Source organism: Homo sapiens, chromosome 2 (genome assembly GCF_000001405.40).
Source record: "Homo sapiens chromosome 2, GRCh38.p14 Primary Assembly".
In the NCBI taxonomy this organism is placed as follows: domain Eukaryota; kingdom Metazoa; phylum Chordata; class Mammalia; order Primates; family Hominidae; genus Homo; species Homo sapiens.
Window position 1 is genome coordinate 235,647,137 of NC_000002.12, and position 13,411 is coordinate 235,660,547.

A 13,411-nucleotide genomic window follows, 5' to 3' on the forward strand; every position below is an offset into this window, starting at 1 on the left:
AGAAAAGTCAAGAGTCTTCACAATGAATGTTGACAGTAATACAAGGTCAGCTTTTTGTTTGCTTTTTAAAGGTTCCAGTCTGGTCACAACTGCATGCAACTGAGTTTTGTAATTATCATCTTAACAATGTGATCACAGTCTGCCCTGCCATTAAAGTATTTACTTGAGGGTACCCATGTAGCATGACTGTCTCAGATCAGATTGAAGCCTTCGAACTTGCTTTATAGAGGTTTTTAGAGTTGAGCAATCACATTTCTTTTTTCTTTTCTGAGACAATGTCTTGCTCTGTCACCCGGGCCGGAGTGCAGTGGTGCAGTCATAGCTCACTGCAGCCTCAGACTCCCAGGCTCAAGCGATCCTCTCACCTCAGCCTCCCGAGTAGCTGGGACTACAGGCGCACACCACCACAGCCAGCTAATTTTTATACTTTTTGTAGAGATGGACTCTTGCAGTGTTGCCTGGGTTGGTCTTGAACTCCTGAACTCAAATGATCCTCCTCCCTTGCCCTCCCAAAATGCTGAGATTATGGGCATGAGCCACCATGCCTGGCTGAGGAATCACATTTTAATAGCCTCACAAAGAAATCCTAGTGTTGACAATATAGGTTTTTAGGTCTGGAATGAACTTCCATTCTAGTCTAATTTCATCCTGATTTTACTGTCCAGGCTCTTGGCTGACCAGTGTGTGGAGACCCTGGTGGCAGCCTAGGGATCCCCTCCAGGTCTCTTCCTTGTCCTTACTGTAGACCATCACACCGCCACTAATTTCCCCCCTCTGGCCAGGTGAGAGCAGATTGTCACCATTTCAGAGAAATTTGAACCAATCAGAAAGAGAGCTCAGGAGTACTGGGGTGACTGAGATGAGCACATGTGGCTTCTTGAGGACCTTCCAACCCCCAAGTTATTCTTAGAAAGCTGCACACAAGCCAGGCAGCTGTAGGCTGGCGTTGAAAAGTTTTTAGCTTTAGCTAATTACATTGTGGGAGAGACTGACTGGGGGGTGTCCATCCCGTGTGTGCCATGCTGCCTCCATCTCTTTCTCCCTCTCTTCTGAGACCTTCTGGTTATCCCCAGCTACCTGCCCCTCCACCTCCTGTGCCCTCAGGGTGGGCAGTTTGGGTTTCTTTCCTTTTTCTTTTGTCTGCTGTTGTTTAGGATTGTGAAAGTGCAGCAGTGCACTCTGTCCCTGCAACAGGCTCTGCGGTGGGCTAGCTCCAGTGTTGCATTCTCCCTTCATCAGTGGAGAAATGCACTCTTGGAACCATGAAGAGTCTGCACATGACAGCTCTGCACTCACTAACATTCAAGCACCTTGATTCAGAGTTTCACGAGACTAAGGTGAGGTTACCTTTCCCTCTCTGTTGTTCTTCCCGTGGAAAGAGGGTTTTCTATTCACACTGTACATTCAGCCACAGCTGGAAACCTCATCTTCCTCTTCCAGTTAAGACAGTCATGTGGCCGGGCGCGGTGGCTCATGCCTGTCATCCCAGCACTTTGGGAAGCCGAGGCAGGCAGATCACTAGGTCAGGAGATTGAGACCATCCTGGCTAACATGGTGAAACCCCATCTCTACAAAAAAAAAAAAAAAAAAAAAAAAAAACATTAGCTGGGCATGGTGGCATGCGCCTGTAGCCCCAGCTACTCGGGAGGCTGAGGCAGTAGAATCACTTGAACCTGGGAGGCGGAGGTTGCAGTGCGCCGAGATCGCACCACTGCACTCCAGTCTAAGTGACAAAGCGAGACTGTCTCAAAAAAAAAAAAAAGTCATGTAATTGTGACCTCAGTTCGCAGGACTTCGGAAGCAGGGACCCCTCCCCTGTACCCCCGCCAAAGCCACCATGGTAGCTCCTCCTAATTGGATCTTGGGGGACTCGGAACAGGGTTTAGCCTGAGAATGTGACTTGTGAGAACCCCAGATGAGAGTAGTTACACTTTTCTGGAAGGCTTATTTAAAACCCCAGAACATTCTTGCATTGGAATTGAGTTGCATTGCTCTCTGGGACGGGCAGTGGGCTCTTGGAAGAGGTAAGTGAAGTCACTGAGTGGGACGCTCCTCGGGGGAGGATTTTGTGGGGCAGTGGGAACATCAGTCTTTCCTAGGCTCAGGAGTGAGTCTAGAGGCCATGTTTATGCACAGGAAGCATCTGGAAGCTTATTAACACAGATTCCTGGGCCCTGCCCAAGAGATTTCAATTCCGTGGGGCCAAGCAGGCCTTGAGACTATGCAGTTTTAATTTATTGTTTTACTTTTATTTAAAGACAGATTCTCACTCTACTGCTCAGGCTGGGGTGTAGTGGTATGACTGTAGCTCACTGCAACCTCAACCCCCTGGGCATAAGCGATCCTCCCACCCCAGCCTTCCGAATAACTGAGACTACAGGTGCGCATCTCTACACTCAGCACATTTTCTTATTTTGTAGAGATGGGGTCTTGCTATGTTGCCCAGGCTGGCCTCAGACTCGTGGACTCAAGCAACCTTCCTGCCTCAGCCTCCCAGAGTGCTAGGAATACAGATGTGAGCCACAGTGGCTGGCCGAGATTGTGCTTTTCTAGCGCCTCCCAGGTGGCTGTGCTGATGCTGCTTGTCTGGGACCTTGCCCTGAGGAGCACTACGCTGTAGGTTCTATCACGGTAACGATACTGTAATGTACAGTGCATCAGATGTCACTAATTTAAAGATCTAGGCTGATGAAAATGAAACCAATTGAAGTACTTCAGCTCCTCCATGCAAGCATGGGCTGGCTTCCCTTATTTTACTGTGGAGTGCCTTTTATACCAGAGTAGTGGCTTTCTAATGTCTGACTCAGGTTAATTGATGAGATTCCAAGGCAACACAATTCAGTAAATCAAACTGGATGAACATCCTCTGCCATCAGAAAAATATCTTTATGATTAGATGGTGATCTTTGGATGGAAAATATTAAAATAAGAATTGATTAAACCAGCTAGGGATGGTGGCTCACGCCTGAAATCCCAGCAGTTTGGGAGGCCAAGGTGGGTGGATCACCGGAGGTCAGGAGTTCGAGACCAGCCTGCCCAACATGAAGAACCCCGTCTCTACTAAAAATACAAAAATTAGCTGGGCATGGTGGTGCACGCTTGTAATCCCAGCTACTCCAGAGGCTGAGACAGGAAAAATCACTTGAACTCGGGAGGTGGAGGTTGCAATGAGCCGAGATTGTGCCACTGCACTCCAGCCTGGGTCACAGAGTGAGTTCTGGGAGTTGGGTTTGTTCATTCATTTGTTTATTCATCTATCCATCTGTCCTTACGTCCTTCCATCCTTCCACCCACCTAGACATCCATGTCTTCCTCCTCTTCTCCCTCTGCCCACTCACCCATCCATCCATTATATGTTAGTTGAGCATGCTCTGTTTCAGTTCTGGGCACTGGGGATATGGCAAAGAAGTAAACATAGAAAACATAAAACTCTGCAGTCTCATGCTGTGGCAAGTGGTGCCTTCTGAGGTCCTGAGTGTTCCTGGAAATTAGCTTGCTCTTTACCCTGCTCTGCTGAAGAAAACCTTGGCAAATAGGGCACAGAAAACTCAATGTCAAAAACGTACCAATTTTCAGAGTAGGAAAAAGTGTGTTTTTTGCAGATTGCAAATCTGTGAGCTTAGCTTCAAGTAAAACTCTAGAAAGACTTATTAAAGAAATGTCCTATAAAAAGAGCTAGTATGTGCTCTGAAGACCTGGGTCTGGCAGAGCAGCCTCTGACATGTGTGGCACCATTAGGAGACAGCCAAGATAGAGACCCTGGCCAGGCGTGGTGGCTCACGCCTATAATCCCAGCACTTTGGGAAGCTGAGGCAGACAGATCACTTGAGGTCAGGAGTTCAAGACTAGCCTGGACAACATGGTGAAACCCGGTCTCTCTTAAAAATATAAAAAATTAGCCAGGCATGGTGGCATGCTCCTGTAGTCCCAGCTACTCAGGAGGCTGAGGTGGGACAATCAGTTGAACCCGAGAGGCAGAGGTTGCAGTGAGTCAAGATCGTGCCAGCCAGTGCGCTCCAGCCAGAGTGACAGAGTGAAACTCCATCTCAAAAAAAAAAAAAAAAAAAAAAAAAAAAAAAAAGAGACACCCTTGCAGGCAGTGGTCACAGGCCGAGGAACCTGGTGGACAAGGTGGGGAACGACTCAATGGATGATGATAAACAGGAAGTTCTAGTACCACTGAGAAAACGATCTGCCAGATATCTCCATCAGCAATGTTCTTAACATGTTTTGTTTTTGACATACTCCAGTCCTCATTTTGACAAGCTTAAGGGAAACATATTTGCAGTGAATGTTGCAGACAAATGGTTATTCCTGATGTTTAAACAGCCCATACAAATAGATTGGAAAAACATGAAGATTCCCATAGGCAAATAGACAAAAACCAATTAATCTGAAACGCTCTTATTGAACAAATCAGCAAAGACTAAAAACAGTGATGTCGACGACGTAGACAGATTCAGCCCTCTAGTCATGTTGTGGCTGTTGGCAGATTAAGCCTGTGTGCTGGTGGGTGGGCTGGGAGTGAGCAACGTTGAGCCCCCCGAAATAATGATGGTGGGAAGGGAAACCTTTTTATAAACTTGTTTGGAAATGTGAATGTATGAAATGCTGGCTTCCTTTGACTCAGGAATTGTGCTTCTAGGAATCTAAGCTAAAGAGATTTTCATAGTAATTGACAGGTTGATTTATATTTATACTCGTATCTTGTTCCAGAAAGGATAAAGCGGTCCACGGGGAGGGACAGGCATATAAAGGCAGCAGGGCACCCAGAAGACAGCTTGTCTTGATGAGAAGGAGAAGGAGCCCTGTTTTACAGCAAGTGTCTTTTGGTATGAAATTCTTAGGGTTTGGGGCACCCCTTTTGTTTTTTGAACGCTCGACTTTTTTGATGGTTATAATTGAGAAATACAGGATATTGCAAACCCTAGACCATATCGAAGGGGGCAAACTTAATTTCATTTGAAAGACACCTGGAGTGGGCAGGAGACATGCTGATCAGCTTTCCAGGTGGCAGAGGCAGCTTTTATAGTGACTTCCCTGACTGGTCAACTGGAAGCTTGATTGAATGTCCTGTGTCCCTCTGGGAGCAGCCCACCTGTCACTCTGTGGCCCTGCAACAGGGCCCTGCTTGTCAGGAGATGGCCATCTTAGTTATCTGACCACTTTCCAGCCTTCAGCCACGCAGCCCTCAGACCCCCCCTACCCCCCAGGCCACTGTGTCCCTGGAGACCCCTGTCCTCTGCATGCTTCCTACTCCTTAGAGGCCCATCAGCCTCCAAGAGCCACCCTAAGCAAGTCACCTGTCTGTGGGTGACAGCATTGAGTCCATGTTAAGAGAGCAGCCTCTATCTGTCTGGGGGTGGAGAGCCCATGTGATTCAGGAGACACCACATCATCATTTCAGAGCCATCACTGAACATCAGGGAAGAGAACTCAAGGGTAGAGTTGAACAGAAACATAAGTGATCCTAGGCCGGGTGCGGTGGCTCACACCCGTAATCCCAGAACTTTGGGAGGCCCAGGCGGGTGGATCACGTGAGGTCGGGAGTTCAAGACCAGCCCAGCCAACATGGTGAAACCCCATCTCCCTTAAAAACACAAAAATTAGCCAGTTGTGGTGGCGGGTGCCTGTAATCCCAGCTACTCAGGAGGCTGAGGCAGGAGAATCGTTTGATCAGGGGCAGGGAGCAGGGTGGGCAGAGGTTGCAATGAGTCAGCTACTCAGGAGGCTGAGGCAGGAGAATCACTTGAATGGGGCAGGGTGTAGAGGTTGCAGTGAGCCAAGTTTGTGCCACTGCACACTCTAGCCTGGGGGACAGAGCCAGACTCTGTCTCGAAAAACAAGAACGATACCAGTAGGTGTTCTTTGACCCATCAACAGGTGTGGGGAGGCAGCACTGCACCGGGAAGGATAAGAGGGTAGGCTTTGCTGTCTGGCCTTGGGCAAGACACTTGACCTCTCAAAGCCCATTTGCTGCATTGTAAAGAGGAAATCATACCCTACAGCAGCTAACCCTCTTACCTTGCTACTTAAGGGCACATTCCGGCCGGGCGCAGTGGCTCATGCCTGTAATCCCAGCACTTTGGGAGGCCAAGGCGGGCGGATCACGAGGTCAGGAGATCGAGACCATCCTGGCTATCACGGTGAAACACTGTCTCTCCTAAAAATAAAAAAATTAGCCTGGTGTGGTGGCGGGCACCTGTGGTCCCAGCTACTCGGGAGGCTGAGGCAGGAGAATGGCATGAAACCGGGAGGCAGAGCTTGCAGTGAGCCGAGATAGCGCCACTGCATTCCAGCCTGGGCGAAAGAGCGAAGCCTCCATCTCAAAAATAAATAAAATAAAATAAAATAAAATAAAATATAACATAACATAACATAACATAACATAAAATAAAATAATAAATAAAAAAGTGCACACTCCCTGGCCATCAGCCTCATCTCTTCTACCTGAGTGGATTAAGTAGTAAAGGGGGAGCTATCCAAGACAGATTTTAAAATGGTCAGTTTGAGTAAACCAAGAGATAGGTTTAAAAAACAATGTATGTTTCACTCAGAGCATAAACAAAATTGTTGAAGAGCCAGCCTACATGCAAGTTTAAAAATTAAAAATGGCCTTATGTATTAAAAACAATCCAGGCTGGGCACAGTGGCTCACGCCTATAATCACAACACTTTGGATGGCCGAGGCAGGCGGATTATTTGAGGTCGGGAGTTCAAGACCATCCTGGCCAACATGGTGAAACCCCGTCTCTACTAAAAATACAAAATTAGCCGGGAGTGGTGGCAGGCGCCTGTAATCCCAGCTACTTGGGAGGCTGAGGCAGGAGAATCACTTAAACCCGGGAGGCGGAGATTGCAGTGAGCTGAGATTGCACCACTGTGCTCCAGCCTGGGTGACAGAGTGAGAGTCCGTCTCAACAAAACAAAAACAATCCATGTTAATTTTAGAAAGTACAAATACAGAAGCAGAAGAAGAATCTGACAGTTATCTAGAGGAGATTTTAATCAGTGTCCTTTAGGTTCATTCGTTGCTTATTTCAATCTGGATTGGGACAGGATGACAAAGGCCCATGAAGGGATTTTATATATAACTGTGTGCTTAGTGTAGCGTGGGTGTTTGTGTTTTATCGCCTGGCCTCTTTGTGGCATGTGACATCTTTGACAGGAACACCAATTGATTCCTCTGTGCTCAATAATGTCTTCACTGCCATGGTATTTCCTGCACAGCTGGGGATGCTTAACTGTGTAACTACAATAGCAAGATAAGGGAAACAGATTTTCCAATTGGATATTTTAATAAATGATGGCTTCAGAAGGGGCACAATATTCTACGCCACTGATTGAATGATGACAAGAAATATTTTAATGGGTGCATTGCTGTCGCAGTGTAGTAAAAAGTAAAGAATGGTTCACCAAGTCAGAGGTCATCCTCAGATGTCCCTATGTGTCTGTTAGTGGAGATAAAGTGATCTCAAGACGGTGACACATTTAAAGTGACGTGAACTAGTTTATTAGTAGTCAGTGGTCCCCCCGGCCACTTCTAAAGATGACATGCTTCTAATCATACCCACAGGATTTCTAAGATCCTTTTTTTTTCTCTTATCAAATGACAGTGCTTGATGATAATTTCATCAGAAAGGTCTCCATCACTAGTCTCTGCTTTATTTTCACGTAGGCAAGTGGTCTCAAGAAAATTGGAATAAAAATATTCAAAATAATTTCTCCCAGCTATATCTGGAGCAAGATTAAACAATTATAAGGAGTAGGCAGTATGTTTTCAATCCCTGTGTTGTCTTTGTCACCATGATTTGCATTCATATCAGAAGGCCAGCAAACTCGGAAAGAAAATGACTTTCTGATTGAATCATATCATTTTAAACAAAGCTCTTTCATGAATAAAGAATATTAATTACTATATCCAGAATGATCCTCTTTTTTTTTTTTTTGAGTTGTGTGTTAACAGAAACCTTTGTGCATTTGACACAAGGTCAGCATAGATTTAACAGGAGACATAAGCTTTGAAAATTTATTCATGCTGGAATTGAACATGGAATTAATTAAATGTACAGAAGCTGGAAGGTAGACAGGTCGTTGTCTCCATTTTTGTTCTTTAAAGCACTTTATTCCATTGGGATATCACAATTTCGTAGCCTGGTATATGCATTCCTTGTGGTGTGTATTAATAAATTGAGTAGGTGAAAAAGACAATAGATGGAAAGCTGGAAAGTGATGTGGCCTGAATTCCTTTCTAGGTAATTTCAATGTTGGTCATGCCCAGGGATCTCCTTAAGTGTTGCAGAATCACACCTGGACAACCCAGGTGCCCAGTCCTTCATTGCCTCATGGGCTCTCTAGTCTTACTTTTGATCCCTTTTCCTGTATTTCACCAGTATAATACTCCCCACTCCTAGTTGGGAATATCTAACCTGTGTTGAGTACCTGTATCTGATGAGTTAGTAGCTGTGAAAACGTTTCTCTAGCAAGGCTGCCTGTGAGTGGGATCCCAGGCCAAGCAGTTAACTGCGTTCCAGCGAAGCAGGTGCCCCGTGTGTTGCTCTGCAAGTCCACATGGAGCAGGATTCCTTATTTTGTGAAGAAAGGATCTTTAGTGCCACGTGTGTATTTTTAACACATTTCCAAAAGCATGATTTATTCAGGATTAAGTTTATTCAGTAGAAATTTCCAAGGTATTTTTTTAAGTGAGGCACCATCCTGGATGCTGGGGAAGAATCTTTGTTGGAATATGACCCTGGGTTTTGTATGGAAAAGGGAGGGGGCAGTGCAGGATGTGGCAAGGCAGTTGTTGGAGCTCCGATACTTCCAATAAGTAACTAGCAGGGCTGTACACACTCTACCAGGAAAGACAAAGAAATGCAGAGTCCAGGGAAGCAGTCCATCGCACGTTTCTTCCTTCCCTGCAAGGGCACTGGAGTTCTCCTTCACCAGGAAGACTGCAGCCCCCATTCTGATTGGCCTCAGGGGGCCGCTCCTGCTGATGATGGCTAATGAGGACAAGCAGTAGAGAATATTGCTTTCATTTATCTTGGTGCTTTGTACCTTGATGGAGACAGATATTCGGGTTTCAAGAAGACAACTTTTTTTGCAGGGCAGGCATTGTTTGCTTGTTTTAAGGCTACGTTCAGAAGCACGAGAACAAACAACAGTTTCAAGCCTAACACTTGGGTTTACATGAAGCTAATTGTTAGATATGAGTTCTAAATTTCTTTTCAAAGAATCAGTATGTCAGTATGTTCAGTTCTTTGCCTTCTACTTCTAAACTTAACTTTCTCATAAAGCAACATTTTTCGATTACCTGCTCCACCCTGACTCATTTCAATCACCTGCTCCACCCTGACTCATTCCGATTACCTGCTACCTGCTCTGCCCTGACTCATTCTCCACCCTGCATAACCATTTTTCCCACCGAACCACTCACCGGGTCACTCTCTTTAAATTAGCCAATTGGAATTAGTTTAGCCTGTGCGGTCTAACCCTAGCCAACAGGGGAACGACACAGCAGCAGGGGCCACGTGAGTCAGGGATAAGAACCCCTTCCCTCCCTTGTCCAAGTGTGCGCTCACCATTGCTCCATCTGTAAGGGCGCACCCTTCTGTAGAAGTAACTTGCCTTGCTGAGAATTAAAAAGAAAATTTTATATTTGAGTGCTATTTCTTTTGTGGCACTGAAACTTTATATATAACATAATGTTGCAGTCCTTTAACATAACAGAAAGGAAAAGGAGAGGCATCCTATTCGGTTTTGCACTAGGGGTCCCCACTGAAATTGCTGACCACAATCACATGGATTATGATTTAATATTTCAGCAAGACATGCATGATTTTAAATGAATCCAATTAATATTCCATTGAAAAGTGGAAACCAGAGTCTAGATAAGCTGACCCAGCTCTCATGCATGTGCTGTTAACTTTCCTACTTTCCCCAGGAGTATCACAGTGAAATTGAGCCATGAGGGACTCTCTGCTTCTTACAGTTGGAAGCCTCTGGACTTCCTCCTCAGAGACGGGAGATCTTGTCTCTCTCAATCCTGAGTTAGTCTCCACTTTATAGCTGTTACTTCAGTTGTAGGGCACTGGGTAGCCCTGGAGTTGAGTTGTTCAATGCATGACCTTGTTTATGTCGCTATTTGAGTTTTTACTGAGAAAAAGGCCTTCTGTGAATCCAAATGTGACTATTACACACTGAATCTTCCCATTACTTTAAGAATAAGTGATGTTGTTGTTGTTGTTATTATTATTTGAGGTGGAGTTTCCCTGTTGTCTCCTGGCTGGAGTGTAATGGCGCCACCTCGGCTCACTGCAACCTCTGCCTCTCGGGTTCAGGCAATTCTTCTGCCTCAGCCTCTGGGGTAGCTGGGATTACAGGCGCCCGCCACCACATCCAGCTAATTTTTTATATTTTTTAGTAGAGATGGGGGTTTCACCATGTTGGCCAGGCTGGTCTCGAACTCCTGACCTCAGGTGATCCATCCGCCTCGGCCTCCCAAAGTGCTGGGATTACAGGCGTGAGCCACCGCGCCCAGCCCAGTGGTGTGATTATTCCATAACCATGGTGGTGATTCCTGTGGGCTAAACTGTGCCTCCCAGAATGTGTGTGTTTTAAGTCCTAACCCCCAGTGCCTCATAATGCGATTCTATTTGGAGACAGGTTCTTTAAAGAGGTGATTGAGTCAAAATGAGGTCAGTAGAGTGGGCCCTAATCCAGTAAGACTGTGTCCTTATAAGAAGAGGAGATTAAGACGCAGACACACAGAGGAAAGACCATGTGAGGACACAGGGGGAAGACGGCATGTCCAAGCCGAGAGACCTCAAAAGAGACCAGCCCTGTCCACACTGTGCTGATCTCGGCCTTCTAGGCTCCAGAACTAGGATAACTAGGTGTCTGTTGTTTAAACCACACAGCCCGTGGTACTTTGTTAGGTCAAGGCTGGTAAACTCGTACAGTGATGGCTTCAAATGTTATGAACATTAAAATCTTTCTATTGCTAGGGAAGGTCATTAAAACCTTGGTGGCCAATTAAATATTTATGGATTTTTTTTCCTTTACACTTTTGCAAAGCGTTTTTTCTAGTTTGTGCATACCTTCTTCTATTAGCAAAATGTCTTCTATTACCAGCTTTAGAAATAACGGTGCTGCTATTTTCCTTGGAGGGGTCTGGGTTGACAGACCTGCGAAAGGTCTGGATGTGTTCAGAGAAATAAGCGATTTTTCCAAGGCCCAGGCCTTTGTACTGCTCTAATTCTATCCAGAATGCTTCGGACGGGAAGAATTTATGGCTTTATAAGTGAGTATTTCCGTATTAGCAAAGAGACATCTACACTTGAAAGACTTTCCTGCAGCCTCCCGGGGGTCGAGGTCAAGAGTCTGGGAGGAGGTGTGGAGCAGAGTGTCCGGGTGAGAGGGTGCTGGGGGCACGTGCCCAGCAGGGGTGGAGGGGTGGACAGGCTCAAAAGAGAGACCTGGGCAGTGGACAGGGCTGGGCTTCCCTGGAGCTGTTGGCGGGGCAGAGCCAGCTCAAGGAACAGCTACCCAGCCTTTCCAGGAACTCTGGAAGGAAACGGGGACTTCCCTGGTGAGGGTGGGATTTGGGAGATAATCCTAATCACTGGGCTGTTCTTTGTCCTTTGACATTCAAATGAAATGGGAGCCTGTTTTACCCCAATCAGCCTTGAGTTTTCGGCACCCTCCCCCTCGGAATACCCGTGAGGGACCTTCTGTTTTTGTTGTTGGTGTTTTACTACCATTTCTGAGTACTTTCTCCGAAAGCTCTTTTAGCACGTTGCTTTTCTCTCTGCCCTCCCTCCTCCTCTTTCCTCCCTTCTGCTCTCACTCTGAAGCAGCCCAGCAGCATGTACAGCACTTGCTTTCCTTTGAGAGGCCCTCCATTGTTCCCGCCCTGCCAACTTCCACGCCAGCCTCCTTTTGCAAGTCCACCTGCCGTTCTGGGCTTGCCCTGGGGAAGGCCCTGGAGCTGGATTCCCACACCCTGCCGAGTTTGTGCGTTTCTGTGAATCTGATGAGTGGGTTGTGGACTTCAATCCAGCCCCACCCTTTACAGTGAGATCCAGGGACCTTTTTAACCTGTGACTGACTTTTTATGTCTTTCTATGTCTGTAAAATCGGGATAATAATAGTACCTACCTCTCTGTGGCACTTTGGGGGTAGAATGGATGAACTGAATTAACGTCTGAAGTGCCACAGTGTTGTATCTGAGTGAGTAGCGTCCTCCTTAAGCATTGGCTTTGGTGCACTGGGAAGGGGCGTCAGCTGGGCAGGCTGAGCCTGTCACCTTTTTCAAAATTTCCAACAACTGTGGCTTCTTGGGAAATCCTTTGGCAGTCAGGGTGCTATATGAACACATGTTTTGTGGGTCACTTGCCAGGCGTCAGTGCCCTGCTCGGGGTCCCTTTGCAGCTCCCCTGAACGTGCCATTTGAAGCATAGCAACCATTACTTTGAGAACCTGTGCAGGTCCAGGTGCCGAGGGCTGTCAGATCCCTGCATCAACTCTGGGGATGGGTTCAATTATTATCCTCTCTGTAAACAGTTCTCAGTTATTCCAAGTATTCTATTTCTTAATGGATCTTCTAAGCCCTGGATCAATAGTGTATATTTCTTTGTCTCTCAGTTGGGGCCCTGGCCTCTGCAGATAAGCCCTCGGATGCGAAATCTGGGGAACCAGCCAGCCACCTCTGGTCCTGGGAGGGTCAGGGACTCGTGAATCAACATCTGGCTCTTTGTGCACAATGGGCCTGGCATGGGCCCAGGCTGGTGGGGTGGGCAGGGAAGGAACAGGCCCATAGGCACCCCTCCATGGGCCCCTCAAGGCTGTAGACCCCTCTGTCTGACCAGCATCCCATTCCCTGAAGTGAAGCAGCTGCCACCAGGCTGGCTTTTCCCAGGCAGTCACACTCTGGGATGCCCCCACCCCTCAGCACACACAGTGACTGTGTTTTCATGTTTTCCACCAAGGGAGGGAGGGACAGGCTTTCTCAGGGGGGCGGCCACCCAAGATCAGCTGCGGCTGAGGATTTTTGTGGCTAGGGGAAGAAGTGAATCACCCTCTTCTCTGTGTCTTTCCCTAACCACTGGAGACTTCATAGATAAACTTGCGGGGTCACGGTGAGGGAGGCACTGTGTGGAAGGGTAAATGGGCTTCCTGGGGGTTTAGTACAAGTTGACCAACCTTCTTGTTGGTAACATGACTGAGGCATTACCTGCACTGATTAAGTCAACCATCAAGCAGCATTTATTAAGTAGAACATTGATAAGGGCTTGAGGGTGAGAGAAGTTGTCCTTAACTGAAGGAGGGGGTTCTATAAATGGAAGTGTCAGAGCAGGGTGACAGATGCCAAGGAAGAGTGCCCAGGTGTGCACAGGTGTGCCCAGGT

At 46.9% G+C, this 13,411-nt stretch overlaps 1 protein-coding gene across 3 annotated transcripts in view, besides 1 other annotated feature; it reads left to right on the forward strand.

Annotated features, from left to right (window-relative positions):
• The window catches only part of AGAP1 (ArfGAP with GTPase domain, ankyrin repeat and PH domain 1), a 637,751-nt gene that overhangs the window by 153,094 nt on the left and 471,246 nt on the right, over positions 1–13,411 (forward strand). The gene's annotated exons all lie outside the window — the stretch shown is intronic.
• Positions 11,301–11,956: an enhancer, noted in NCBI's record as "OCT4-NANOG-H3K27ac-H3K4me1 hESC enhancer chr2:236567081-236567736 (GRCh37/hg19 assembly coordinates)". NCBI's record gives its function as "activates a minimal SCP1, AML or CMV promoter by ChIP-STARR-seq in naive H9 embryonic stem cells {active_cell/tissue: H9 hESC(naive)}" and the evidence as "EXISTENCE:reporter gene assay evidence [ECO:0000049][PMID:30033119]".